The sequence below is a fragment of the Homo sapiens genome, chromosome 7 (assembly GCF_000001405.40).
Source record: "Homo sapiens chromosome 7, GRCh38.p14 Primary Assembly".
NCBI classification, from domain to species: Eukaryota; Metazoa; Chordata; class Mammalia; order Primates; family Hominidae; genus Homo; species Homo sapiens.
In genome coordinates, this window is record NC_000007.14 from 101,142,976 (window position 1) to 101,170,253 (window position 27,278).

Consider the following 27,278-nt stretch of genomic DNA (forward strand, 5'->3'; position numbering starts at 1 on the left):
TAATTTTATTTTTTGTAGAGACAGGGTCTCACTATGTTGTTCAAGCTGGTCTTGAACTCTGGGGCTCAGCCTCCCAAAGTGCTGGGATTACAAGCATGAGCTACTGTGCCCAGCTGCTGCTATCATCATTATTACTTAACAGCCACAGGCAGTTGGGCACCCTGTGTTCCCTGCCTCTACACCATATTGCCTCTCTCTGTGGCACGTGTGAACAGGAACAGGTCTCCCGAAACACCAAGAAGGGCTCAGACGTAGGCAGGACGCGGTGGCGAATCACTTGAGGTCAGTAGTTTGAGACCAGCCTGGCCAACATGGTACAATCCCATCTCCATTAAAAATACAAAAAAAAAAAAAAAAAAATAGCTGGGCATTGTGGCGCACAACTGTGGTCCCAGCTGCTCAAGAGGCTGAGGCAGGAGAATCATTTGAATCCAGGAGACGGAGGCTGCAGTGAACTGAGATCGCACCACTGCACTCCAGCCTGGGCGATAGAGCAAGACATCAAGAGAGAGAGAAAAAAGGAAAGAATGAAAGAAAGAGAGAAAGAAAGAGAGAAAGAAAGAAGAAAGAAAGAAAGAAAGAAAGAAAGAAAGAAAGAAAGAAAGAAAGAAAGAAAGAAAGAGAAAGAAAGAAAGAAAGGGAAAGGAAGGGAAAGGAAAGGGAAAGGAAAGAAAAGAAAGAAAATGAAGAGAAGGAAGGGAAGGAAGGGAAAGAAGAAAGAAGGGAAAGAAAGAAAGAAGGGAAAGAAAGAAAGAAGAGAAAGAAAGAGAGAAAAGAAGGGCTCAGACGTGGTCGAGTATAAAGGTGCTGGCCAGGCAGTGGCTCATGCCTGTAATTCGAGCACTTTGGAAGGCCGAGGCAAGTGAATCACCTGAGTCCAGGAGTTCGAGACCAGCCTGGGCAACATGGCAAAACCTCGTCTCCACAAAAAAAAATACAAAAATGAGCTGGGCGTGGTGGCGGGCGCCAGTAGTCCCAGCTACTCTGGAGGCTGAGGTGGGAGGATTGCCTGAGCCAAGGAGGTCGAGGTTGCAGTGAGCCAAGATCACGCCACTACACTCCAGCCTGGGGTGACAGAGCAAGACCCCGGCTCAAAAAAAAAAAAAAAAAAAGTGCTGCCCTCACGTGCCAGTCATCAGCAGCTTGTGTGTTGCCACCAGCCGCGGGGCCAGCCTGAACACTTGCTTCCTGAACCAGGTCTTTGATCTCCTCGCCACCAGAGGTCGCTTTCGCTCCAGTGGAAAGCTCTTCCCTGAAGCAAAGCAGCTGTGGCTTCCACCAAAATCTTGCCAAGTTGGAACTCCATTCAATTTAACGAGTATTTATTTAAAAGCTGACCTTTAGACTGGGTACTGTGAAGCATTAAAAAGAAAGTGTCAGCTATTCTTAATAGCAGATATCTAATGACAAGGGACATCAAAAAGCTGGGGAAAAAAAGCTATGCTGACCAGGTGCAGTGGCTCATGCCTGTAATCCCAACATTTTGAGAGGCCAAGGTGGGAGGATCACTTGAGGCAGCCAGGAGTTTGGGACCAGCCTGGACAACATGGCGAAACACTCAACTAAAAATAAAAAAACTTAGCCAGGCGTGGTGGTGCATGCCAGTTACTCTGGAGGCTGAGGCCGGAGGATCACTTGAGCCCTGGGAAGTCGAGGCTGCAGTAAGCTGTGATTGCACCACTACATTCAAGCTGGGGCAACAAAGTGAGACCCTGTCTTGAAAAAGAAAAAAGAAAAGAAAAGGAAGAAAAGCTATGCAAGTCACTGCAAAAATAATGGAAAGGAACACTGTATAAATGATCGCTATAGTCTGAAATAGAGTGTAGACTCATCAGAGGAGGGGCTGTTTGAAACCATAAAGGATAGGCTGGGCGCGGTGGCTCACGCCTGTAATCCCAGCACTTTGGGAGGCCGAGGCGGGCAGATCACGAGGTCAGGAGATCGAAACCATCCTGGCTAACACGGTGAAACCCCGTCTCTACTACAAATACAAAAAATTAGCCGGGCGTGGTGGCGGGCGCCTGTAGTCCCAGCTACTCAGGAGGTTGAGGCAGGAGGATGGCGTGAACCCGGGAGGCGGAGCTTGCAGTGAGCCGAGATTGTGCCACTGCTCTCCAACCTGGGCGACACAGCGAGACTCCTTCTCAAAAAAAAAAAAAAAAAAAAAAGAAACCATAAAGGATAAATCAGATGGGTTTGGGGTCTATAGGGAGGGAATGGCAGGGCATTCCAGAAAACAGCATGAACAAAATCACGAAGGAAAACGTATAGCAGGGCAGATGCAAGGGACACGTGAGAATGAACTCTCAGATCTCCAGCTGGTTTCAGCCTGTCCCCTCCTCCCTCCTGATAACCCAGCCATTCCTCTCTAGGCCCTCACCTAATCTAGTCCAGCAAGTCTTCCCTGGGGCCCTTGAATAAGCCACAATTTCGTGTTACCCCCCTCATGTCCCAGGCTTACAGCTTGCAAGGCTAGAAAAAGGCAGTAACATCAACCACAATGGAAAACCAAGAGGGGATAATTTCAGGGGAAGGAAGTGGCAACACGTTTTTGGCAAGTGAAGTTTGAGATGACAATGGAATACTTACTTTATTTCATTTTATTTTTAAAAAATGGAAACCGGCTGGGTGCAGTGGCTCACACCTGTAATCCCAGCACTTTGGGAGTCCAAGCATGTGGATCACATGAGGTCAGGAGTTTGAGACCAGCCTGGCCAACATGGTGAAACCCCGTCTTTACTAAAAATACAAAAATTAGCCGGGCATGGTGGTGGGCACCTGTAAACCCAGCTACTCGGGAGGCTGAGGCAGGAGAATTGCTTGAACCCTGGAGGCGGAGGCTGCAGTGAGCCGAGATCACACCATTGCACTCCAGCTTGGGCGACAGAGTGAGGCTCCAAAAAAAAAAAAAAAAAAAGGAGGAGGAGGAGAAGGGGAAGGAAAGGAAGGAAGGAAGGAAGGAGGGAAGGAAGGAAGGAAGCAAGGAAGGAAGGGAGGGAGGAAGGAAGGAAGGAAGGAAATTGGGCATTTCAGGGAATTGCTGGGGCAGCCAGAGAACCAAATTGGAGGGAGGTCTCACACTATTGCACTAGGAACAATGCCCCACATCAAACCTGTGCCCCTGCCTGTCCTGTGGATGCAAGACACCGCTAATAGCGCCACTCCACTGCCACCCTAGGAACTTGATCCTCTGTCCTTCTGCCAGGGTCTTAACTACTTTCCATCTCCTCATGCCCACCCCAGTCTCTCCTGGAGCAAAGTCTGGCAGGTGCACAGATGGGCAGAGTCCAGCTGACATGCCCATGCTATGCCCAGAAACAACGCTGCAAAAGTGAATATCTGGAAATTGCAAATACTACTCTGGGAGGTTGGTCTATCTGCTCCCTAAATTCATAAGACATGGGATTCCCACACTCCAAGAAGGGGGGTTAGAACCTGAGTGCTGAAAAGAATGACAAACATCAACCACAGAGAGTGTTCCAGCCGGGTGTGGTGTATAGGATTACGTCTGTAATCCCAGCACTTTGGGAGGCCAAGGCAGGAAGATCACTTGAGCCCAGGAGTTTGAGACCAGCCTGGGCAACATAGCGAGACCTGGTGTCTGCAAACAATTTTTTTTTTTTTTTTTGAGACAGAGCCTCACTCTATTGCCCAAGCTGGAGTGCAGTGTCGAGATCTCAGATCATTGCAACCTCTGCCTCCCGGGTTCAAGCAATTCTCCTGCTTCAGCCTCCCAAATAGCTGGGATTACAGGTGTGCGCCATCACGCCCGGCTAATTTTTGTATTTTTAGTAGAGACAGGGTTTCACCATGTTGGCCAGGCTGGTCTTGAACTCCTAACCTCAAGTGATCCACCCACCTCGGCCTCCCAAAGTGCTGGGATTATAGGTGTGAACCACCACACCCAGCCCTACAAACAAATTTTTAAAAATAGCTAGGTATGGTGGTGCATGCCTACAGTCTCAGCTACTTGGAAGGCTGAGGCAGGAGGATCACTTGAGCCCATGAGTTTGAGGGTGCAGTGATCATGATCACACCACTGCACTCCAGCCTGGGCAAGAGAGTGAGACCCTGACTCTAAAAAAATTGAAAAAAAAAGGTGGGGAGGAACATGGATCATAGACTCACAAAGATGAGAGGCTTCAGAATCCATCTGGCCACCTCTCAACCACCGCAGGAACCACCTCTACAACCACATGAGAAAAGGCATGGGGAGGTGTCAGTGTGGTTTGTAAGATGACAGTACAAACACCATTCCTAATAGTGAAGAAGAATCTCACCTCTTCAGCTAGGTGCAGTGGCTCAGGCCTGTAATCCCAGCACTTTGGGAGGCCGAGGCGGGTGGATCACTTGAGGTCAGGAGTTTAAAACCAGCCTGGCCAACATGGTGAAACCCCGTCTCTACTAAAAATACAAAAGTTAGCCAGGTGTGGTGGCATGCGCCTGTAATCCCAGCTACGCAAGAGGCTGAGGCAGGAGAATTGCTTGTACCCAGGAGGCGGAGGTTGCAGTGAGCTGAGATCGCGCCATTGCACTCCAGCCTGGGTGACAGAGCGAGACGCCATCTCAAAAAAAAAAAAGAGAAGAAGAAGAATCTCACCTCTTCCATGTTTCCATTTATACAAGTGGCACCACTAACCCTCCAGGATTTTTCTCCCTTCCTCTCTACTTAGATGATGATCAGCTTCAGATCACCAGCTCCTTTGAGGCATCTCTCCTGATTTGTCCCTCGCATTTCATCCTGGAGTCAGGATTCCCAAAACTCTCAGACGATCTTTCAGCTTTCCAATTGTCCTTTCAAATTCTTCCACATATGACTATAAGATTAATCTTTTTTTTTCTGAGACAGGGTATCGCTCTGTCACCCAGGCTGGAGTGCAGTGGAAAAATCGACTCACTGCAGCCTCTACCTCCTGCACTCAAGCGATCCTCCCACCTCAGCCTCCTAAGTAGCTGGGACCACAGGCACGTGCCACCATGCCTGGCTAATTTTTTTTATTTTTTCTAGAAACAGGGTCTTCGTTGCCCAGGCTGGTCTCAAACTCCTAAGCTCAAGCAATTCTGCCACCTCAGCCTCCCAAAGTGCTGGGCTTACGAGCCTGAGCCACCATGTGCCTGGCCAAGATTAACTTTATTAACACTGTTTTCACCAAGTTATTCACTGGTTCACACAACCATAATGACCCTAAACTGCCAACTGCATCAAATCTCAATTCATCTCCATGCACAAGCTGTATCGGATCAACTAACTCATAGATCCTCCACATTCATCATTCACTAACAATGAAGAAATCCAAGTTGGGTGTCGTGGCTCACGCCTGTAATCCCAGCACTTTGGGAGGCCAAAGCAGGTGGATAACTTGAGGTTAGGAGTTCGAGACCAGCCTGGCCAATATGGTGAAACCCTGTCTCTACTAAAAATACAAAAAAATTAGCTGGGTGTGATGACGCATGCCTATAGCCCCAGCTGCTCAGGAGGCTGAGGAGGGAGAATCGCTTGAACCTGGCAGGCAGAGGTTGCAGTGAGCCGAGATCATACCACTGCACTCCAGCCTGGGAGACAGGGCAAGACTCTAGTTTCAACCACTTGAATTCTATGACTCCCTACAAGCAAAACCCATATTTCTTTTCATTTGTAATTTCTTTAATTTTTTGAGACAGGTTCTTGCTCTGTCATCCAGGTTGGAGTGCAGTGGTAAGATATCGGCTCACTGCAACCTCCACCTGCCAGGCTCAAGCGATCCTCCCACCTCAGCCTCCTGAGTAGCTGGGACCACAGGTGTGCGCCACCATGCCCGACTAATGTTTGTATCTTTTGTAGAGACAGGGTTTTGCCAGGTTGCCCATGCTGGTCTTGAATTATTTGGCTCCTGCAATCCTCCCACCTCAGCCTCCCGAAGTGCTAGGATTACAGGCGTGAGCCACTGTGCCTGGCTGCAAAACCCACATTTCTAACAATTCTCTCATGAAGCCTATCTTTTCTGCAGTTAGGCGTATCACATTGAGGCAAGGAATTTTAAAGAGTGTCGGCTTTCCAAGAAGTGTAGGAGTTGATATCTCTCGAGCTTCCAAACTTCTGCAAGCTGCTGCCCGGCCCTCTGCTTTATTTCTTTTTCTTTTCCTTTTTTTTTTTTTTTTTTTTGAGGCAGAGTCTTGCTCTTTAGCCCAGGCTGAAGTGCAGTGGCGTGATCTCTGCTCACTGCAGCCTCTGCTTCCTGAGTTCCAGCAATTCTCCTGCCTCAGCCTCCTAGGTAGCTGGGATTACAGGCACCCGTATTTTTAGTAGAGATGGGTTTCACCATGTTGACCAGGCCTAGTCTCGAACTCCTGACCTCAGGTGATCTGCCCACCTCGGCCTCCCAAAGTGCTGGGATTACAGGCCTGAGCCACCACACCCAGCCTGCTTTATTTATCTCACCACTCATACCACTCATTCCTTCCTTATACCTTCTCATCTCTCTCCTAAGCACATTTCCTTTTTTTCTTTTTTTCTTTTTTTTTGAGACAGAGTCTTGCTCTGTCTGGAGTGAAGTACAATGACACGATCTAGGCTTACTGCAACCTCTGCCTCTCGGGTTCAAGTGATTCCCTAGCCTCAGTCTCCCGAGCAGCTGGGATTATAGGCACCCGCCATCACCCCTAGCTAATTTTTTTGTATTTTGTAGAGACAGGGTTTCACCACGTTGGCCAGGCTGGTCTTGAACTCCTGACCTCAGGTCATCCACCTGCCTCCGCCTCCCAAAGTTCTGAGATTACAGGCACGAGCCACTGCGCCCGGCCATACTTCTAGTCCTTGCTTTCATTCCATATGATTTATCCTTTCTAATCCTAACAACTTGCTTTATTGATCTTATTCTTGACCTACAAATGATACCAGGTGAAGGGGTGGGTTGCCCCCCACACCTGTGGGTGTTTCTCGTTAGGTGGAACGAGAGATTTGGAAAAGAAAAAGACACAGAGACAAAGTATAGAGAAAGAAATAAGGGGACCCAGGGAACCAGCGTTCAGCATATGGAGGATCCCGCCAGCCTCTGAGTTCCCTTAGTATTTATTGATCATTCATGGGTGTTTCTCCGAGAGGGGGATGTGGCAGGGTCACAAGACAATAGTGGGGAGAGGGTCAGCAGACAAACACGTGAACAAAGGTCTTTGCATCATAGACAGGGTAAAGAATCAAGTGCTGTGCTTTTAGATATGCATACACATAAACGTCTCAATGCTTTACAAAGCAGTATTGCTGCCCGCATGTCCCACCTCCAGCCCTAAGACGGTTTTTCCCTATCTCAGTAGATGGAACGTACAATCGGGTTTTATACCAAGACATTCCATTGCCCAGGGACGGGCAGGAGACAGATGCCTTCCTCTTGTCTCAACTGCAAGAGGCATGCCTTCCTCTTATACTAATCCTCCTCAGCACAGACCCTTTACGGGTGTCGGGCTGGGGGACAGTCAGGTCTTTCCCTTCCCACGAGGCCATATTTCAGACTATCCCATGGGGAGAAACCTTGGACAATACCTGGCTTTCCTAGGCAGAGGTCCCTGCGGCCTTCCGCAGTGTTTGTGTCCCTGGGTACTTGAGATTAGGGAGTGGTGATGACTCTTAAGGAGCATGCTGCCTTCAAGCATCTGTTTAACAAAGCACATCTTGCACCGCCCTTAATCTATTTAACCCTGAGTTTGACACAGCACATGTTTCAGAGAGCACGGGGTTGGGGGTAAGGTCATAGATTAACAGAAACTCAAGGCAGAAGAATTTGTCTTAGTACAGAACAAAATGGAGTCTCCTATGTCTACTTCTTTCTACACAGACACAGTAACAATCTGATCTGTCTTGCTTTTCCCCACAACCAGGATAGTCCAGCCAGCTAACTGTCTGTGCCATCTTATTCTTGACCTAATAAATAGCTGCCGGGCTTGGTGGCTCACACCTGTAATCCCAGCATTTTGGGAGGCCGAGGCGGGTGGATCACGAGGTCAGGAGTTCGAGACCAGCCTGGCCAACATAGTGAAACCCCGTCTCTACTGAAAATACAAAAATTAGCTGGGCGTGGTGGCATGCACCTATAATCCCAGCTACTTAGGAGGCCGAGGCAGGAAAATCACTTGAGCCCAGGAGGTGGAGGTTGCAGTGAGCCGAGATCACACCATTGCAGTCCAGCCTGAGCGACAGTGCAAGAGTCTGTCTCAAAAAAAAAAAATAAATAAATAAATAAATAAGTAGCACCACAATAGTTCAGGCAGCCAATAATCTATGCCACTGGTAAGATATTCCACTAGTATATGTCATATATCTTAGACGATGGTGTTGAAAAGCCTAAGGTGGAGGCAGAGGAGAAAAGAAAACAAAAGCAAAAGGAAGAAGAAAAAGTAAAAGAAGAAAGAAGTTGGGCCCGGGCGCGGTGGCTCACACCTGTAATCCCAGAACTTTTGAGAGGCCAAGGCAGGCAGATCACTCGAGGTCAGGAGTTTGAGACCAGCGTGGCCAACGTGGTGAAACCCCATCTCTACTAAAAAAATAAAACTTAGCGGGGTGTGGTGGTAGATATCTGTAGTCCCAGCTACTTGGGAGGCTGAGGAAGGAGAATTGCTTGATCCGGGGAGGTGGAGGCTGCAGTGAGCCGAGATCGTGCCACTGCACTCCAGCGTGGGCAACAAGAACGAGACTCCGTCTCAACAACAACAACAACAACAAAAAAAAAAAAAAAAAAGGAAGAGTCTGGGAAGAGGAAATGATAGGTACCATTATGAAGTGTTTACAGATACTTGCTATACATTACCTCTAATCCTCAGAACCACCTTGCAAGATATGTACTACTGTCCTCTTTTTTTTTTTTTTTTTTTGAGACAGAAGGCTGAGTCAGGAGGCTGAATCAGGAGAATCACTTGAACCCGGGAGGTGGAGGTTGCAGTGAGCCGAGATTGTGCCACTGCACTCCAGCCTGGGCAACAGAGCAAGACTCCATCTCAAAAAAATAAATACACAAAATAAATAAATAAAGTGGAGACAGGAGGTGAGGCCTTACCAACAATTGCATCATGTGCTACTCAAAAATAATAGCACATTAGTTGCCAACAATTATCTACCATTAACTTTTCTGCATGACAAAATTTAAGATTTTCTCTTATCCTTCTATCCAGACCTCTTTACTTTATCATTTGTGCTAGGGAAGCAGGAGCCTCAGAGAGCCAGCATAAAGCCATTTTAAGTTCAGCTCCATCTTGAAACTAACAAGGCACATTCCTTGTCAGTCACAACCCAAAGCTGTTTACAGTTGGGGAAACAGCTTAAAGATACCTGCAAGGACAGACTCCTCCAACTACAGAAAATCCAGATGCCCCAATACCCATAACAATATGTGCCTTTAAGATAATTATAGTTCTGGCTGGGTGTGGAGGCTAAGGCAGGATTGCTTTAGGCCAGGAGTTCGAGATCAGCCTGGCCAACATTGCAAAACCCCCTCTCTACTAAAGATACAAAAATTAGCTGGGTGTCGTAGCACATGCCTACAATCCCAGTAGTGAGACCCCATCTCTACAACAAAATATTTTTTTAATTAATTGGATGCACTGGTTCATGCCTGCAGTCACAGCTACTTGGGAGGCTGAGGTGAAAGGATGTAGCTGTAATCCAGCTATTAGGGATGCTGAGACACAAGAATGGCTTGAACCCAGGAGGTGGAGGTTGCAGTGAGCTGAGATCACGCCACTGCACTACAGCCTGGGCAACAGATCAAGACTCTGTCTCAAGAAAAAAAAAAAAGGAAGAAAGATAATTAAGTTTTGCTTTGATGTACTTACCTACTAGAATGTCAAGGATAGTTAAATTAACAGAATAATAAATTTTGTCATGCCATTGGCCCATCTGCACATTGACTCGGCTTAGTTTAGTCTCTACAAAAACAAGACCCCTATATAAGAAAAACTTAAAGGTCAGGGGCGGTGGCTCATACCTGTAATCCCAACACTTTGGGAGGCTGAGGAGTGTGGATACCTTGAGTCCAGGAGTCCCAGACCAGCTTGGGTAGCATGACAATACCCTGTGTCTACAAAACATACAACTATTAGCTGGCTGTGGTGGTGCATGCCTGTAGTCCTAGCTACTTGGGAGACTGAAGTGGGAGGATCGCTTGAGCTCAGGAGGTGGAGGCTGCAGTGAACTATGATCATGCTACTACACTCCAGCCTGGGCAACAGAGTAAGACCCTGTCTCAAAAAAAGAAGAAAAAAAAAAAGAAAGAAAGAAAAGAAAAACTTAAGACAGTGTGTTCCTCTGTTTGCTTTCTGAGGACGCCCTACTCCGTAAGGGTGTAGCTTTCAATAAACTCTCTCTTCTCATCGCACTCTACGACTTGCTTTGGGTTCCTTCCTGCATGAGATCCAAGAATTCTCTCTTGGGGTCTGGATCGGGACCCCTTTTTCCAGTAACATGTAGACACACACACACATTCAGTTTAAAAGCCCATATTACAACGTACATCCACCTCATCTTCACACTGAGATTTGGGTGACATCTGTCCCTTTTTGAGTTTTGACCCAAGTTAACCTTTTAAGACGCTCTTTATTTCTTCCCCTTTTGCCTCAGTTCACGTTCCTCCCCCTTCTCCTTACATGCCTTTTATAGCAGCCTCTCCTTTTCTCTTTTATTCTTTTTCTACACATTTCTCTTACTGTAAAATCAGAAGCCAGGCGCGGTGGCTCACGCCTGTAATCCCAGCAGTTTGGGAAACCGAGGCGGGAGGGTCTCTTGAACCCAAGAGTTCGAGACCAGCCTGGGCAACATAGTAAGACCCCCGTCTCTACTAAAAAAAAATTAAAAATTAGCTGGGCATGACGGTGTGCGTCTGTAGTCCCAGCTACTCAGGAGGCTGAGGCGGGAGGATCGCTTGAGGCCAGGAGTTCAAGGCTGCAGAGAGTCACGATCCCACCACTGCACTCCAACCTGGGTGACGCGGCCAGACCCTGTCTCTAAAAAGAAAAAAACTAGAGGGGTGTATCTATCACGCTTTCAATAGATATTCAGCTTGGGTTCTATACTTTTCTCATGACCCTTTGTCTTTCTGTTTTCCAGGTCACTCCTCCTCCCCTACACTTAATTCCCACCCTGCTCCCTTTTCACGGCCCACTCCCCTTCCAGGAGTCCTGCCTGCTGCTTCGAACTCCAATGATCGTCCCATTCACCTCTCACCCCTTTTCCCGCCTTTTTGCCCCACAAGGCTCCAAAGCGCGAGGACCTTATTGTCCTCCTCCCCCATCCTCCAACCAGCCCACAGGACAGCCGCGTTACCATGACGACCGGGCTCCTAGAAGCTGCAGTCAAGGACCTGGTTGCCATGGTTTCCGCTTCTCCGCCTCCAGCCCCGCCCGCGCTCCCCGCGGCGTCGGCGCCTGCGCAGTGCGTGGCGCGCCGGGAGTCAGAGCCTGGGCGGGACGGGGCGGGGCTTCGGGCGAGAGGGAGGGCAGCAGGAGAAAGGATAAGAAAGGGAGTGGGACTGGCGCCTACGGTGGCCGAAGTGGGACGCGCCGAGCCGGAGGCTGCAGGATGGTAGGCTGTGCGAAGAGGGAGGGGAGGGGGAAGCGAGGGGCGTGGGCTGCACCTGCGGGGGTCCTCGGGGGCCGCCCTCGGGGTGAACCGCCCTGTCTTCCCTCTGGTCCTCAGAGGCCTCCCTTGCCTCGGCGGGTGGGCGAGCCGGGCTCGGGAGGAAGAGGGGGAGGTGGCATTCGGGAGAGGGGCGGGGAGGGGGCGCATTTGCAGGGCGAGCGGGGGCTGACGAAGGGGCGGCGGGGCCGTCCCGAGCCGGGAGGGGCGCTCTGGTCTTGGCCCCTGGGGTCCCTCGATCCCCGCTGCAGGGAAGCCGCCCGAAGCAGAGGGTTGCGGGAGTCTCTTTGCTGAGGGAGGGAGCGGGGGTCACCAGTCACCGAGACCCCCTTCCCGGGCTGCACAGGCGGGAGCGGGGACCCGGGTGGGGAGAGGGGTGTGGGAGGGGAGTTTCCGGGTCGGAAAAGGGAGCGCCCTACTGCGTTCGTGGCCGTGCTTGCCTAGAGGCTGGGCCCAGGTAGGGAAGCGAAGTGGACTCGTGGTTTTTCTCCGAGGGACCCAGGCTTTGGGATCCCGGGCTCCGGGGCTCTCTGCCCCCCTTCCCATTCTCTTTCCGGAATCCAGGCCTTCCGTCTTCCTGCTTGCTCCCCACCCCCCTATTTGAGCGCCGCACGAGGCTCCCCAGCGCCCCTCTTTTCCCCTCCACCAAAAAAATCAGTTCTCCTGAATTCTGATTTTTCACTTACTAAGCTAGTACAGTGCCACACACCCAGGGATTCCAAGCCTGGGCATGTCCATGAATAGAAGAGCTACTGGGGTAAGGAGAAGACTCCAGGATGTGGCCCAGACCCCCCGGAACTGGGAAGCTGGGGTACACTGGGCAGTGAGGGTTCTGTCTTCCATCCCACTTGACCCAGCTTGCTGTCTGTTCTGCAGACATTCTTTTAGGGGAACCCCCTGGGTGGCGGGGCCCTAACTGAGGGAAATTGGTCACCTGGTGTCTGGGGAGGAGTGGGCGCTTAGCAGGAGGCACCCTAAAAGGAAGAAAAGTTAAAGAGAAATGTCGAAGACCAAATGCCTGGGTGCCTGCAGAGAGGAAGATAGGATTTGGGCATCTGCATACCCTGTGTGGTGTTGGAGATACATACTACAGAGGAGGATACCCCTGGGCATAGGCCTGGCACTGGAGGATGATATGTTTGGGAGATCATTAAGATCTTATGGCTATGATGGGGTGGAAAATTGAGGTAGCTTCTCCAGGGACAAAATACCAGATTTCAGCATGGTGATGGATAGAGAGAGGGTGGAAGAGAACAGGCATTTCTTTGGCGTCGGTTACTGTCGTCTTGTCACTGTGCTAGGCATTTTACTTACCTTTAGAAAGCAGACCAGAAAGCAAGAGGTCAGGGAATCATGGTAATAATAGTAATAACTAACGGCCGGGCGCAGTGGCTCATGCCTTAATGCCAGCACTTTGGGAGGCCTAGGTGGGTGGATCACCTGAGGTCGGGAGTTCGAGACCAGGGCCTGGCCAACATGGTGAAACCACATCTCTACTAAAAATACAAATATTAGCCGGGCGTGATGGCACGTGACTGTAATCCCAGCTACTCAGGAGGCTGAGGCAGGAGAATCGCTGGAACTTGGGAGGCGGAGATTGCACTGAACAGTGATTGCGCCACTGCACTCCAGCCTGGGCGACAGAGAGAGACTCTGTCTCAAAAATAATAATAATAATAGCTAACATGTTATACTGCCTGCCTGTGCTAGGGACTTGCATATATCAAATCATTTAGTCTCACCTAACAACTGTGCAAGGCAGGTACAATGTCCATTTTACACATAAGGAAACTGAGGCCCAGAGACTTACAGTAGTAATTGGGCCAAGGCCTTGCATAACTAGTAGAGCCAGGATTTGAACCCAGCTGACAGACTCAGAAGCTCTGACTTCCCCCTGCTGGTGGAAACACCCAGCCTTGAGAGCAAGGGGCTGGATGTTGGAAGAAAGTAGAGAAGAATTAGCTGGAGATAAGTTTGGGGAATGTGTGGTTACCCTCGGTTCTGCCCTCCCATCCCCCACAGATGCGGTTCATGCTATTATTCAGCCGGCAGGGAAAACTGCGGCTGCAAAAATGGTACCTGGCCACTTCGGACAAGGAACGGAAGAAGATGGTGCGCGAGCTCATGCAGGTTGTCCTGGCTCGAAAGCCCAAGATGTGCAGCTTCCTGGAGTGGAGGGACCTCAAAGTTGTCTATAAGAGGTGACTCCCCACCTACTTTCAGACCTGCCTAGATTCAAGTTGGGCAGTGGGTTAAAATGTCTGAGAAATGGTCGTCCTGTAGGTCAGGGAGACCTGGGAGCTGAGGACATCTGGAGGACAGTAATGAATGTCAGCTTCCTTTTTTTTTTTTTTTTTTCTCCCCAAACTCTTAAAGAAGTTCTTGTTTACCACTTGGTTTTGCTCACGTGCAACACCTGCCTCACTCACGTGTCCCTTTGGGCCCTGTCTTGCCCCACTGCGCATGTCCCTTGCAGTCAAAGGTCCTGCCCTACTTTTCCTAACACACACGCACACACACACCCTTTCCGGTTCCTTCTCCTCGGAGCAGGTAAATTACTTGGCTCAGGTTTTTGCTGAGTCAAACTTAGGAGGTCAGAGGGCAGGAAGGAAAAAGCATGCGTTCTTTGCATGTTTTTAAGACAGCACAAAGAGGCAGGTGAGTTACTCTTTACATGCCCTAGGGCCACCTCACCTGTGGCCAGCCAGGGCACAGACCACCTCCAGGCTGGTGAGAGGTTTGAGACCAGAATGCCTGGGTCCTGAAGCAAGCTTGTAGCGATGTCTCATGCGCTCCTCTCCGCAGATATGCCAGCCTCTACTTCTGCTGCGCCATCGAGGGCCAAGACAATGAGCTCATCACACTGGAGCTGATCCACCGATACGTGGAGCTCTTAGACAAATACTTTGGCAGTGTAAGTCTCCTCTGCCCACCAGTTTCCATTCCCAGCAATCCCCTTTGGTAATCCACCAAACTTTGAGGCCCCTCCAGTCTCTGCCCTGGAAGTTTCAGGGGAGAGGTGAAGTTGGAGCAGTAAGAACAGTAATTAATTTCCCTTTTTAAGCTTTAAGCCTATTAACCATGTCCCATAATCGTCCCTGAGTGGGGAAACTGGGGGCAGGATCAGGCACTTAATCTCCACTTAGAGCTTAGCTCGGACTTTTCACACAGAGACCAAGTTCAGATGTTTTGATTAGTTCAAATTTTTATTTTTTTAGAGACACAGTCTCACCCTATCACCTGGAGGAATGCCGCCTATGGCTGGAGTGCAGTGGCACAATCGTAGCTCACTGCAGCCTTAACCTCTGGGCTCAAGCCATCCTCCTGCCTCAGTCCCCTGAGGAGGTGGGACTGCAGGTGCACACCACTATGCCCAGCTAATTTTTGTATTTTTTTTTTTAAGAGATGAGGTCTTGCTATGTTGCCCAGGCTGGGTCTCTAACTCTGGGGCTCAAGTGATCCTCCCACCTCAGCCTCCCAAAGTCTGGGATTATAGGCGTGAGCCACTGTACCCAGCCCCATATTCAGATTTTTATCACTGGTTGCTGATCTTGGATTTGCATTGGAGTTTTCTGGAGAATTTTTTTGAATGGCAATGTCCAGGTTCCACTCCCAGAGATTCTGAATTAACTTATCTGAGGGACAGCTCAGATCTTAGATGGGGCGTAGTAGTAACTCCATAATTTGTGTTATAAAGTGCTTTTGCGTCCTCTCGTTTGCTCCTTATCCCATCCTAGCAGTAGGTGTTGGTATCCCCATTTTTGAGGCCAGAAAACTGAGACTTAGAGATGTTTCATGACTTGTTTAGCTAGATGGTTAGTGGCAGAGCCCTGCTTGGAACTCAAGTCTTCCACCCCATGGTCCAGAATTCCCTCTTTCCCTGCCCCACAGTGTCCAGGAAGCGGGGCTACCACAGCCTTTGGTGGGAAGAACGTCACAGATTTTGGGGGGAAGGCAAGGGGAACCATAGACAAAGGTAGATAAGGCAACTAATGTTTCATGATCAGGAGGAAAGATGCAAGAGGAAGAGGGAAAAAAACTGATCCAAGGCAAGGCGCGGTGGCTCACGCCTGTGATCCCAGCATTTTGGGAAGCTGAGGCAGGTGGGTCACTTGAGGCCAGAAGTTCGAGACCAGCCTGGCCAACATGGCAAGACCCTATCTCTACAAAATATTTTAAAAATGAGGTGGGCGTGATAGCATGCACCTGTAGTCCCAGCTACTCAGGAAGCTGAGGCAGGAGGATCACTTGAGCCCAGGAGTTTGAGGCTGCAGTGAGCTGTGATCATGCCACTGCACTGCAGCCTGGACGACAGAGCAAGAGACCCTGTCTCTAACAAAATAACGAAACAAAAAAACTGAAAAAGCTGACCAATGACTAAGGCTTGGAGGTTGGGGGCAGAACCCAAGGTGGGAGGCACGGTCTTGAAAAGGAAGTGGCTCCAGTTGCCCCTCCATGCTCAACTTAGCCTCTCCCCGCCCTCCCAGGTGTGCGAGCTGGACATCATCTTCAACTTTGAGAAGGCCTACTTCATCCTGGATGAGTTTTTGATGGGGGGGGATGTCCAGGACACCTCCAAGAAGAGTGTGCTGAAAGCCATCGAGCAGGCTGACCTACTGCAAGAGGTACGGGCCAGGGACAGTGAGGAGGAGGAGGAAGCGCACAGTGGCGGACAGGGTCCTCCCTCCCCTGGACACCCGGCCTGCCCTGCCCACCGTCGCCAAGGAGCCCCCCCTCCCTGTGGTATCTGACCCCCACCACGCCCAGCTCTCCAGCTTACTCTCAAGCCCTGACCCCATGGGGTGGGAGGTAGGGTGGCAGATAGCCCACCTGTGCACCCCTCATTCCAAGCTCTGTCCTTCTCCCAAGCCCCCAGATGTCTCGTGGCCACCCAGTCTCCTTTGTCCAATTCTCTGAGCAAGGCTTAACACCAAAGGGTTAAGGGTTTGCTCTGGAGTTAAGGGTTGCTTGGAGAATTGGAGAAGGGGCACCTGGTAGGTCATTCTTTTCTTCCCTGATTTCTTCCCCCACCTCTCTTTTTTTTTTCTTTTTTTTTTTTTTAACACACACATACTCCAAAGCCTCTGCGTCTCAGGAGGAAAAGGCTATGGGGATTTGGGGGCTGGCAGAGGGCACCTGGATGTTGGTTCTCCCTGCTCCCCAGCGCCCCCGCCCTCACCCCATTACTGCCTGCCCCCTCTCTGCTGTGCCATCACCGAGCCCTGGTGCAGGGAGATGAGTCACCGGAATCTGCAGTGATGAGCGAGCCCGGCCTGAGCTGGCTCTGAGGAGGGGGAGAGATGGGGGGCGAGGGAGGGCTCATCTTTGCAGTGGGAGAGAGGGCAGAACTGAACTTGCCACCTCACTGGTCGAGCTTCACCTTCCCACACACGCACACACACACACCCTGGCGCGCACACACACACACACACACACATGCCCTGGCACACACACCCATCGTGTCACCAGTGTTGCGCTCAGACCCTAATGACGCATCTCCCTGCAGCCTGGTTCACCTTCCCTCAGGGACCTGGCACTCACCTCCCTCTGCCTTTTCCCCACTCTGAAAAACAGGACCCAGTCAGCTGTACCCCCCAGGGCCCCAGAAAGATCCCCCACCTCCTTGTCCCGGCTTCACTCCCTTTACCCCCAGGTGTCAAGGCGGGGCCCCTGCTTACCAAGGTCCTGGCTTTGGGTTCTCTGGGTGGTGACGGACTCAACCTGGACCCCCCCTGCCACTGTTGGCTGGCTCTGGGGCTGGCCCTGGGAGGCTGGTGGGTGCCCCATGAAGGGCTCACTGGTCCGGCCTTGGGCTCACATTGGCTTCTCTCCCCCTCCCCCGTGTCTGTGCCTCCCCCGTCTGACTCTTCCTCGTGACTGCTGTCTTGCCCACCCTGTCGGCCTCTCCTGGTGTCTCTGCGTCACCCTCTGTCTGTCTCTGCCTTAGGAGGATGAGTCGCCACGGAGTGTGCTGGAGGAGATGGGTTTGGCATAGCCCCTGCTGGGCCGGGGTGTGGCGATGGGGTCCTGGCAGCGTGGCGGGAACGGCTGCTTCTCCTCTGCCCAGGGCCCTGTTCTTGGTGGGACTCGGCTGCCCCTCCTCTGCTGCCTCACCTTTCGGAGTGAGCTGTGGGCTCAGGCCCTTCAAACATTCCCTCCCTCCACCCCCTACCTCCACTTTCCCCTTTTCCCACTGAAGGTTTTAGAAGCTAGGAGGCAGGAAAATGTGACCCAGATGGGGGTGCTATTTGGCTTTTATTCCCTGCCTTTGCAGAACTGATGTCACCCCAGATGTCCTTCCCTCCCTAATAACTGTAAATATATAAATATGTCAGGTTAAAGGGAAAAGGTGTTCAGGGCACTTCTTGTCCTCTCTGTCCCATAACCTACCTCCACCCTCCCCCTAGCCAGCCAGGCAGCTTCTCTGCCTGGGAGGGGAGCCTGGACCCCCCTCTTTCTCCTTGGCTGCAGTGGGGCCTTTATCCAGTGCCAGGGAGGAACAACATAGTTAATTTTTTTCTAACCTTGCCACTTTGAGGGAAGGAAGGGTTGGGGGAAGGGCAAGCTTTATGGGACCCTGGTCCTGGCCCTGGCCTTTCACTCCAGTTCTGGGTGAGGCAGGAGCTGGGAGGGGTGGGGAGGGGGAGGGGGAAGTGTCTGCCTTTATGTCCTTTCTTCTGAAATAAAAGTAAAAGCATTTCTGGACTTTGCTGGCCTTGGGCTCTGTGAAGGAAGGCAGGGCTGCTGGCATCATCGGGAGGCCAAGGGGATCCTGCCAGCCTTGGGAAGAAACGGAGAGCACGCAGTTAAATGAGAATTCCAGATACACAACAAATCATTTTAGGGATAAATGTGTTGCATGCAGTGTTTGGGACACATTTAACTCTAAAACTGCATCTGTTGTGTATCTGGAATTTCAGATTTCATTTCCTGTATTTTATCTGGCCACCCTACCTTAAACGGATTTTTATGCCCAATGCGTCTCCAAACGGGCTGCCCCCAACTCCCTGAGCTGCCTTTATGGAAGGAGGAGCAACTCTTCAGGATGCGGGTCTGTTGTGGGTGATTTCGTTTGCCCAGTTTAGTTTTATTTGAATCAGTTCACAAGTACCTGCGATTAGAAAAGGCTTAAGATGGGAGGCCAAGGTGGGGAGGTCGCTTGAGCCCAGGAGTTCCAGACCAGCTGAGCAAGCTGGCAAAACCTCATCCCTACAAAAAATGCAAACATTAGCTGGGCATAATGGTGCACACTTGTAGTCCCAGCTACTCAGGAGGTTGGGGTAGGAGGATCACTTGAGCCCAGGAAGTCGAGGTTGCAGTGAGCTGTGATTGCACCACTGCACTCCAGCCTGGGCAACATAGTGAGACCCTGTCTCAAAAAAAAAAAAAAAAAAAAAGTTAAGAAGTGGCTTTAGCCAGCATGTCTCTGTGGCTGCCACTCCCTCCTCCCCGCATTTCTTGCAAAGTACCTAGGACCAGGAATGTAGGGATCAGTGGAGGGAGGTGGGTGGGTGAACACAGGAAACTCCGGCATTACCCGCGCGGCCCCAGGATCTTGGGAAAAAGGAGCCCACTGGCACCCAGAGTTGTGGCACCTTCTGCGGGTCGCCTTTTTCTTTTGAACCAGAGGTCGCTGGACTGATCGCAGACAATTGGCTCTTTTATTGCATTCCGCTGGGCCTCTCTCTGTCAAGCCCTGGGGAAAGATGACTTTACCACCAGCCCCCAAGCTGGAAGTGGAATTTCGGGTTTCTTAATGGGTGCGAGCCACATTCTTCTCCTCTAAAAACAGTTTGAGGACTTTCCCCACTTACCCCTTGCCTTAGTTTGGGGGCAGGAAGCAGGAGGAGACGGGGACTGTGGCTGGCGCTTCCCTCACCGCCCCTTGGGAAGGACCACACAGGCCCAAGGGGACGGGTGAATAACCGAGAACAAAGTCCTAATAAAATAGTCACTTTTATTTCTTAGCAAAACTATTTCCTCCGTGAGGGGTATTTACAACAGAGAAAGGAAAGAAGGGGTCAATTCACAGCGACTTGGAGAGGCTGGAGGGGCTCGTGGGAGGCCCGAAGGGCTGGAGACAGACACACTTCACACAATTAACTGGAACTGCTTTTTCCGGTTTCCGACGGGGACGTCCCCAGAGGGACTTGATGGGGCCGGGGCCCCGCGTGGCAAGGGAACTCGCACAAACCACCCGCCCTCCTGGGCTGGCCCCCGGTCACCCGCGGGTGAGCTCTGGGAGTTCGGGCTCAGGACCCGGGAGGGGGGTCTGGCAGGTCCCGACGCAGCCCGGGGACAGGGGCAGGGCCAAGGGGCAGGGCCGGGGCGCATGCAAACACCGAGGGGGAGCGGGCAACACGGAGGGGGGCGCCGGCGCGCGCGCGCGGCGGGGGCGCGCGGGGGCGGGACCGGGAAGGGCAGTCACGGGCGCCGGAGCAGCACGTGCTCGATGTAATTCTCCAGCTCCTCCTGCTCCTGCAGCCGGCGCTCCTCCGCCTCCGCCTCCTCCTGCGCGCGCCGCGCCTGGGCCTCCCGGCCGGGATAGTGGCGCGAAGGCGGCAAGGCGTGGTGGTAGTGGCGGCGGCGCAAGGCCGAGGGCGGCTGCAGTGTCCGCGGCCGGATGTAGTTGGGGAAAGGGTGGTACGGCCCTGGCGGGTACACCTCGTCCTCCTCCCGATCCCAGGGCGGGAGCACCTCGTTCCAGTCCGGCAGCTCGTCTCGTGCGGGAGCGGGGGCGGGGGGCGGGGGCTGCGGGGAGCGGACGTGGGTGGGGGCGGGGGCGGCACGGGGGGGCGGCACGGGCTCGGGAGGGGCGTTCTTCTTCCGCTTCCGCTTCTCCTCCACCTCCTCGATGATGCTGACCACGTCGTCCGCTGGCAGGTGGAGTTTGGTGGACAGCTCAATGAGGCTGTCGATCGTCTGCGGATCCATCTCCTCGTCGTCCTCCTCCTCCCCGCCCTCCTCTGTCCCCTCGGCCTCCTTCCGCCGGTGGCCCGGCGTCTCCTCCTGGGAGCGCTTGTCCTCGGCGCCGGCTTCCCCGTCCTCCTCCTCCGCGAACAGGAGCGCGTTCTGCCGCGCCCTCTCCGCCTCCTCCGCCTCTGCCTCCGCCTCGGCCGCCTCCTCATCCTCTTCCCCCACCCTCTCCTCCCCGCCGCGTCTCTCCTGCTCCGCCTCCTCCTCCTCCCTTGCACTCTCTCGCTCCTCCGCCGCCTCCTGCAGCCCCCGACCCCCGAGGCCGCGCTGCCGGGCCCCGCCCTGCAGCAAATACTGGAGCAGCAGGTCCGAGGCGAGGTCGGCCAGCCGCTCTTCCTGCGCCGCGGCCTGCCGCGTGGCCTCCGCCTGCCGCCGCCCGGCCTCCACCTGCGCCAGCCCTTGCTGGAGAAGGCGCTCGCCCGCCTCGGAGCCGCCCAGGAGTGCGCTCTCCGGCCGGCGCGCCTTGGGGAACGGGGCGGCCACGCCTTGGTACGCCTTGGACAGGGGTGCCAATGCCTCGCCTAGGTGTGTTTTGGGGGAGGACACTCCTTCCCCGAACTTGTGGGTTTCGGGAAGGGGCCCGCTGTCGGGCATACGCGCCTGGAATTGAGAGGGGGCCGGGGGCGGCAGGGGCGCGCGCTCCGGGACACGCGCCTGGAACTCTCCCCAGGAAGCGCGCCATACGCGCTCTGGCCCCGGGCTCTCCAGATTCACTCGGGTCAGCGTGTGCGTGCGGGTTTCCGTCTCTGCTGCCGCCGTCTCCTGCTGGCGCTTGGCGCTACTTGGACTGAAATCTCGCAGTTCCTGGAGCAGGGACGCTAGCGCCTCGAGCTCCTCGGAGGGATCGCTCGCCTCGGGCCCATTCTCCGGAGTCTGAGGGCGAGGCGGAGCCGCGGGCTCCGGGCTCTCCGGCGCCGGGAGGCTGTGGGTCTGGCTGCGCACGGTCTCGGTCAGCAGAGCTTCAGCTGCTTCTTCCTCCGGCCCCTGCTGGGAGCCGCTTGGTGCCGGGGGTGAGGCGGGACGGTCGAGTGCCTGCAGCAGCACCGCGGCCAGCGCCCGGGGATCCACGCCCTGGAAAAGCTCTCCCTCGTCCTGCGGCTCGGAATTCCGAGCGCCTCGGACCTCTGGGGCGCTGCCATCCTTTGGCCCGGGCACTGCGTCCCCGGCTACCGGCTCTTTATGCTCAGAGCTGAGAGGAGGAGGCTGCGCCTCAGGGCGACCAGGGGGTGCTGCCCCTAACCCGTTGATCAGCAGAAGGCAGAAGAGGGCGGAAGCCGACAATCTGAGGGCTTTCATGACCAAGAGGCTGCCGGAGACTGAAAAATAGAAGGGACCAAAAAAAGAGGATTTCTGTAAGAATTCCCCTCTCTAGGTCTACGTTCCCTTCCCCCACCTTTCAGCAGGAAACCCGGGGCTTCCCTGATCCCCCAAACCTTACCCAGAAGAGGAACGTTTAGGAGCAAAGGAGGAAGATGTTGTGCCGATCTCTGGAGCCGTGTAAATGGGAAAATAACCCCCGAAGCCCTCGCTTACCCAGGGCCTCCTCGGCCCCTTCCCTGAGCCATCTCACTGCCATCGCCCACGTACTAAGCAGCAGCAATATGGGGGAAAAAAAAATCTCTGCTCCCTCCCCGTAGGACTCCCCGGATGGTGCGTGGGCGACTTCAGCAGCAAGAGAAAAAGCTGCGACTCCCCCGTTTACCGGGGACCCTTACCAGGGGGCTCCCCGCTGTGTTTGCAACACCCCCATCGAGAGGAGAGAGAACCCTCCCTCACGCCCACGGCTGGCTGCCGAGGGTTTGAGGGACGAACAGCGGAGTATTTACCAGCTGGTGTCACGACGCGAGAGGTGGAGAGGAGGGTCGGGGCAGGGTGGGGACAGGGGAAGATCGGGACGCGTCCGCCTCGGCTCCGAGCGGTGGCCGGGGTAGGAGCGACGGTCGAGGTCTGGCGTCCCGTGGGCTGGGCTCAGCTGGGTCGGCGCGGCTCCGGGCGGCTAGCTCGCTCCGGCTTCAGCACGCTGGACAGCGCCCGCGCCTCCACCGCCTTATAAAGGGGAGCGCGCGGGGTCACGTGGGCGCGCCCCGCCCCATTGACGTCAATGTTCATTCATGGGGAAGCGGGCGGCCGCCCGGAGGAGGAAGGACGCCCGACGATTGGAGGGTGCCTGCCTCTCCCGGCCTGCGCCTGCGCGCTGGGGCCTTCGGCTGAAGGGGTGTGCGCTAGCGGAGCTCCGGGAAATGAATGAATGAATGAATGAATGAAATGCTGAAGCGGGCAGGGCGGGGGGCTATGAATGAATGAAGGAGGGACGAGGAGAAAAGGATGAATGAATGAATGGGAGAATGAATGGAAGGGTGGATGCAGAGGCGCTGGAAGGCGGGAGGGTGGGTTGCAGAGCAACTTGGAGCTGCTGGATGGAGCCCGCGTTGCTGAGTGGAATAGAAAAAGGGTAGTCCCAGCGTCTGACTGGGCACCAGTGGGAGCTCAATACTGGGGAGGGGAAGGATAAAGATTCAAGAGCCGACCAGGGGGCCGGGTTCCCCACCCCGAGACCACGCGCCCAAGGACGGCGTGAACCTGAGTGCAGAGGGACAGATCTGCACGCCTGCGGGCGCTGTCCGCGAATCGGCAGTGCGGGTGGCAGCCCCCTGACAGGGGCAGATGGGTGGATCTTGCGGTTTTGGTAATCCCATCGGGAAGGGTCCGAGTCGGAAGAGAAAAGGGAAAGAATGAGGATGTGTGTGCCTCTGGGTCGTGTCTGTTTCACGATCCGTGCTGTGTCTGGAGAAAAAGGTGTGTCTGTCCTTCTGTCCCCTGACTGCCGCTTGTGTCAAGGCCCCCCGCTGTGCCCCCTTCGGCCCATCTCTTCCCACACTCCCCCAGTCGCTTTCCCTCCTGCCGCTCCCCTCCCCCAAGGACGTTTGGAGGGCGAGACCAGAGCAGGTGGGGAGGGGGTTGCGCAGGTGGGGGGGGGGTGACTCAACTCCAGCTCTCTCCACCGCTTAAAGGGAAGGTTTGAACGCGATGGGAGGGGGACCTGCAACGTCAGAGATAGCCCCTCTCTGCCACCAGCCCCTTCGACCGTATCTCCTGCCAGAGAGGTTGGGGCTGGGGGCTTGGACAGCTAGAGGTTCCGGGGGTGGGGGGCGATGACGCACAGATTTGCGCAAAGAGAATCCATCAGAGAGCTGGGTCCGGTGAAGGGAGACCAGCCGTGGGCGGGGGTGGGGGGGAGGACGGAAATGGGGAGGGGGCAGGGGAGAGGAGAGGGTGGCAAGGGGGGCAGCCACTGCAGGAATGAAGGGGAGGGAGGGAGGAAGCCTGGAGGGGGCTGCGGTGCTGGCAGAGAGCGGTGCGGGGGCGTGGGCAGGGAAGGGGGGAATGACAATGACACACGCCAGACACACACGAACTGCGGACATAGGGGTGCTCGTGGGCACACGCAGGGCACCCGCACCCTGAGACTCTGGAAACCAAGGTCAGGGCTGTCTGTCAGGGTCTTAGAGACTCTTTCAGAAACGGTCCTCGCCCCCCTCCTCACCTCTTCCTGGCACTGACCCTCCTTCTAACCTCCCCCTCCCTACACACACACTCACGTGCTTTCTCTCTATAACCAGCAGTGGCTTCTCGCTTCCATCAGTGGCTCGACTTTCCCAGAAGAAAGCCCATCAGCTCTGCGGGGAAAGAAATGGGGAGGAGTGGAGAGGGAGAAAAGAGAGAAGAGATGGGGGCAGGGGAGGAGGAAGGAATGAAGGGATCTGGAACAGGTAGAAGGAGCAGGCTAAAGGAGAAAAAAAAACTGAGAACCAAGGTGACAGTGGAGATTCCAAAGAAAGGAGGGAAAAGAGGGGGTAGGAGACCCCGAGGCGATGCCTCCCATCCCCACGCACAACTAACCACGGCCTCCCCTCCTTCCTCTCCCCGCCCCCATGTCCCCTTCATCTTCCCAGCCTGGATACAGAGAGCAGTGGGATGGGGAGGGGGTCACGTTACCTTCCTGAGGAGGATGAATCAGAGAGAGATGGCTCAGACATCTGGAGAGGGGGAGGGGAAGCCATCCAAGAGAGAAGGGAGAGGGGAGGGAGGGAGCCAAGGGGGCTGACTGAGTGGCTGATGGGGATCAGAGACCAAGTTGCAAGATGAGAGAAGACGGGCACCTGGAGAAACTGTATTTGCCTGTTGGCTTGTGTATGCACACACACCTGCGTGTACATGTACATGGCTTGTGCATGTGTGTTTATGTGTGTATGGAGATGAATGAGATACATGGCCGGGGCGGGGAGAAAAAGAAAGGGAATGGGGGGAAGCAATTGTGTATTTAATCAGATCAAGAGTGGATGGGCATGGTAGTGTTTCCAATTTAACTATGTGATGTTCTATTCCAGTCTGTGTGGCTGTGTTTGTGTTTGCTTCCAGGTGTGGGTGTGTGTGCACGCGCGCGTGTGTGTGTGCTGGGTTGTTTTTTTTTGTTTTTTTTTTTTATCTCTTCTGCATGCCTGTATGCCCATGCAGTTTGGAGTCTTTGAGCACACCCAGTTCTGGGCATCCGCTGGTGTCCAAAAAGTGTGCCTGGCTTGGTGGTACACAACAATGTGTGTGTAAGCACACACATGCCCCCACTCCACATCCCTCCCTTCCTCCACTTAAGCTCACAAGCCCAGGAGAGTTTCTCAGAAATCAGCATCCCCAAGGCTCCAGTCGTCCTGTCGTGAGGGAGCGGGGTGGATATGAATGCCTGGGGCACAAAAGGCTTGGAGATTCCACAATCTGGGTCTTGACTCTGTCTGCATGGTCTCTGGACTCATTCTGTTTCTGCCTCTCTCCATCCCAGTTCCCTACCTGGGTCAGCTCATTCACACACTACTCGCCTCTACTGGGGGTGAGCTGTGCCCTTCATACCCTGCTGCCTCTAGGGGCTTCTGGACTGGGCACAGGTTCTTGGGATAGGGAAAGGAGGGAGACAGTAGAAAAAGAAAGAGAAGTGAAGAGACTGGGAGAGACAGAGTGCTGGAAAAGGCAGAGCCCATATGGGGACCTAGTTGGGGATGCCTGGTATTGGTTCTGACTTGTTTGTGTGAATCCATCATCTCTCTTTGTATTTGTTTCTAAATCTCCCTCCAAGAGGGTAGCTGGAGAAGATGGGGTCCAGCATCGTAGGGTTCCAAGCTGAAGATGTGGAAAACCAGGAGAGTGGGGAAGAGCACTGGGTCTTTTCCCTGAGAAGGTCTGGGAGAGAAAGAGAGAGCAGGGGCTTGTGGACCCCGAAGCTCACCGGTCCCCTCTTCTCCTCCCCCTCCCCCCAACCGGTGACTCACCTCTGCAGCCTTTAACTGCGTCAGCCATGGTGGAGGGGCAGGCAGGGAGGGGGCACTTTATGAGAGGGGAAGGGGTCTCCACTTTGAACTTACAGAAGATGCTGAAGGCCCCCTGAAAATTGCCCCATTTAGAACACACTCTTGCCCTATCCTCTCCCCATCCCAGAGCTGGGGAATCCTGGGGAAGGGACTGAGGGGTGGGCTGGGGGCTACGGGAGGGTCTGGAATGATGAGTGATGGGAAGGGGGTGCCCACCCTGATTTTTAGTCCTGAGGTCCCATTCGCCCTCAGACCCCCACCCACTCCTGAGTGGGGGAGGGGAGACCCAGCAAGCGGGGGAGGGCAACGCCGCAGAGATGAGTCACCAAGAAAGAGAGAGAGAAAGAGACAGAGATGGGGAGAGACACGAAGAGAGAGCCACTGGAGAGACTAACACACACACACACACACACACTCAAATACACACACAGACACACACACACCATCAAGGTGGTATCCACCAAGAGAAAGAAAACCACTTCTGTCATCCTGAACCAGCCTCCTTCAACTTCCACCTGTCACACACATAACACACTGTCCTACAGAATCACACTGAGATTCGGAGACACACCCACTTACACAAACACAATGTCACACCTAGCCTAGCAGTTACCCAGACCTAGGCTGGAGATGTGTGCAGGGCAATGGAGGTGTGCTCTAAGTGTTCTCACTCATTCCTTTTACCAGGTGGAGGGAGGGGCGCCAAAACCCTCAAGGAATGCGACTTCAGAGACCCAAGACGCGGTTGCAGGGACTCACAGGCTGCGCTGTGCACACTCGACAATACACACAAGTCGCCTGCCTCCCCGTCCACACGCACATAGTAACATATCAAGCATCGTCCTCATCAAAAAGCAACAGAAAAAAAACCACTTGAGGTACCTGATTCTGGGGTACACCAGGCACGTTGTCCCGAATCCATCCCACCCAGACACCCCCTGACTCGTACACACATGTACAGAAACGCAGACACACAAAGACGCCCACGGACACACTCACACGGACGAAAACCACCTTGTGCTGCCTTGCCCGCGTCCGCGCACGTCCTGGCGCCCCCGTGTGTTACTTTGGGGGATCGCAGTCTCCGCCAATCCAGAGCAGGCTTCGCGGGGGCGGTGCCCAGGCTCTCTCCACCTCCTCCACCCACCACGGGTTGCCCACCTAGAAAAGGGGAAAGCGATACCGGCTGGCCACGGGCAAGTCTGGAACTGGGGGTTAGATGCCTGGATCCTGGCTGATGGAAGCTGGTCTTGGATGCCAAGTGGGACTTGGGAGAAGAACTCACAGAATTTGGGTAGCAGCCGACTCCCAGGTCCAGGGAAAAGCGAGGCCCAGGGCGAGTCAGGAGG

General features: G+C 53.8%; 2 protein-coding genes and 1 non-coding gene across 5 annotated transcripts, besides 12 other annotated features; 2 read left to right on the forward strand and 1 right to left on the reverse strand.

Moving 5' to 3' along the window:
• Positions 780-1,720: a silencer, noted in NCBI's record as "S6 fragment used in the reporter construct". NCBI's record gives its function as "represses activity of a beta-globin enhancer-driven SV40 promoter in transfected K562 erythroleukemia cells {active_cell/tissue: K562}" and the evidence as "EXISTENCE:reporter gene assay evidence [ECO:0000049][PMID:30886051]".
• Positions 1,073-1,367: an enhancer, noted in NCBI's record as "tiled region #4233; K562 Activating DNase matched - State 5:Enh". NCBI's record gives its function as "activates a minimal TATA promoter and a strong SV40 promoter by Sharpr-MPRA in K562 cells {active_cell/tissue: K562}" and the evidence as "EXISTENCE:reporter gene assay evidence [ECO:0000049][PMID:27701403]".
• Positions 11,243-11,482: a silencer, noted in NCBI's record as "silent region_18474". NCBI's record gives its function as "represses an Ori minimal core promoter by ATAC-STARR-seq in GM12878 lymphoblastoid cells {active_cell/tissue: GM12878}" and the evidence as "EXISTENCE:reporter gene assay evidence [ECO:0000049][PMID:35858748]".
• Positions 11,243-11,587: a biological region, named in NCBI's record as "Sharpr-MPRA regulatory region 5920".
• Positions 11,293-11,587: an enhancer, noted in NCBI's record as "tiled region #5920; HepG2 Activating DNase unmatched - State 4:PromP, and K562 Activating DNase unmatched - State 1:Tss". NCBI's record gives its function as "activates a minimal TATA promoter and a strong SV40 promoter by Sharpr-MPRA in HepG2 and K562 cells {active_cell/tissue: HepG2 | K562}" and the evidence as "EXISTENCE:reporter gene assay evidence [ECO:0000049][PMID:27701403]".
• Positions 11,501-18,301, forward strand: AP1S1 (adaptor related protein complex 1 subunit sigma 1). Its single transcript, NM_001283.5, has 5 exons — positions 11,501-11,542; positions 13,619-13,797; positions 14,402-14,510; positions 16,084-16,221; positions 17,544-18,301. Exons 1-5 carry the CDS (start codon positions 11,540-11,542, stop codon positions 17,589-17,591), a joined length of 477 nt encoding a protein of 158 aa, NP_001274.1. The 5' UTR covers positions 11,501-11,539; the 3' UTR covers positions 17,592-18,301.
• Positions 11,907-12,407: an enhancer, noted in NCBI's record as "H3K27ac hESC enhancer chr7:100798163-100798663 (GRCh37/hg19 assembly coordinates)". NCBI's record gives its function as "activates a minimal SCP1, AML or CMV promoter by ChIP-STARR-seq in naive H9 embryonic stem cells {active_cell/tissue: H9 hESC(naive)}" and the evidence as "EXISTENCE:reporter gene assay evidence [ECO:0000049][PMID:30033119]".
• Positions 13,386-14,585: an enhancer, noted in NCBI's record as "BRD4-independent group 4 enhancer chr7:100799642-100800841 (GRCh37/hg19 assembly coordinates)". NCBI's record gives its function as "activates an origin of replication core promoter dependent on BRD2, P300/CBP, MED14 and CDK7 cofactors, and independent of BRD4, by STARR-seq in HCT116 cells {active_cell/tissue: HCT116}" and the evidence as "EXISTENCE:reporter gene assay evidence [ECO:0000049][PMID:35650434]".
• Positions 16,498-16,580, forward strand: MIR4653 (microRNA 4653). The gene has a single exon (NR_039797.1). It is a non-coding gene; the product is annotated as a microRNA 4653 (primary transcript).
• Positions 19,534-26,977, reverse strand: VGF (VGF nerve growth factor inducible). Of its 3 annotated transcripts, XM_011516549.4 has the most exons (3): positions 26,929-26,977; positions 24,172-24,249; positions 19,534-21,888 (listed from the first exon to the last, which is right to left on the reverse strand). In XM_011516549.4, exon 3 carries the CDS (start codon positions 21,866-21,868, stop codon positions 20,021-20,023), a length of 1,848 nt encoding a protein of 615 aa, XP_011514851.1. In that variant the 5' UTR covers positions 21,869-21,888; positions 24,172-24,249; positions 26,929-26,977; the 3' UTR covers positions 19,534-20,020. The 3 variants fall into 3 exon arrangements, with proteins under 3 accessions (XP_011514851.1, NP_003369.2, XP_005250618.1); NM_003378.4 differs by lacking the exons at positions 24,172-24,249; positions 26,929-26,977 and adding an exon at positions 22,399-22,594; XM_005250561.6 differs by lacking the exons at positions 24,172-24,249; positions 26,929-26,977 and adding an exon at positions 22,011-22,594.
• Positions 19,763-19,852: a silencer, noted in NCBI's record as "silent region_18475". NCBI's record gives its function as "represses an Ori minimal core promoter by ATAC-STARR-seq in GM12878 lymphoblastoid cells {active_cell/tissue: GM12878}" and the evidence as "EXISTENCE:reporter gene assay evidence [ECO:0000049][PMID:35858748]".
• Positions 20,413-20,462: a silencer, noted in NCBI's record as "silent region_18476". NCBI's record gives its function as "represses an Ori minimal core promoter by ATAC-STARR-seq in GM12878 lymphoblastoid cells {active_cell/tissue: GM12878}" and the evidence as "EXISTENCE:reporter gene assay evidence [ECO:0000049][PMID:35858748]".
• Positions 20,623-20,762: a silencer, noted in NCBI's record as "silent region_18477". NCBI's record gives its function as "represses an Ori minimal core promoter by ATAC-STARR-seq in GM12878 lymphoblastoid cells {active_cell/tissue: GM12878}" and the evidence as "EXISTENCE:reporter gene assay evidence [ECO:0000049][PMID:35858748]".
• Positions 22,525-22,624: a silencer, noted in NCBI's record as "silent region_18478". NCBI's record gives its function as "represses an Ori minimal core promoter by ATAC-STARR-seq in GM12878 lymphoblastoid cells {active_cell/tissue: GM12878}" and the evidence as "EXISTENCE:reporter gene assay evidence [ECO:0000049][PMID:35858748]".
• Positions 25,839-26,009: a silencer, noted in NCBI's record as "fragment chr7:100812095-100812265 (GRCh37/hg19 assembly coordinates)". NCBI's record gives its function as "represses an EF-1alpha promoter that drives an FKBP-Casp9 reporter gene in an ReSE screen in phorbol 12-myristate 13-acetate-treated (for megakaryocytic differentiation) K562 erythroleukemia cells {active_cell/tissue: K562(+PMA)}" and the evidence as "EXISTENCE:reporter gene assay evidence [ECO:0000049][PMID:32094911]".
• Positions 26,978-27,278: the final 301 nt, after the last annotated feature.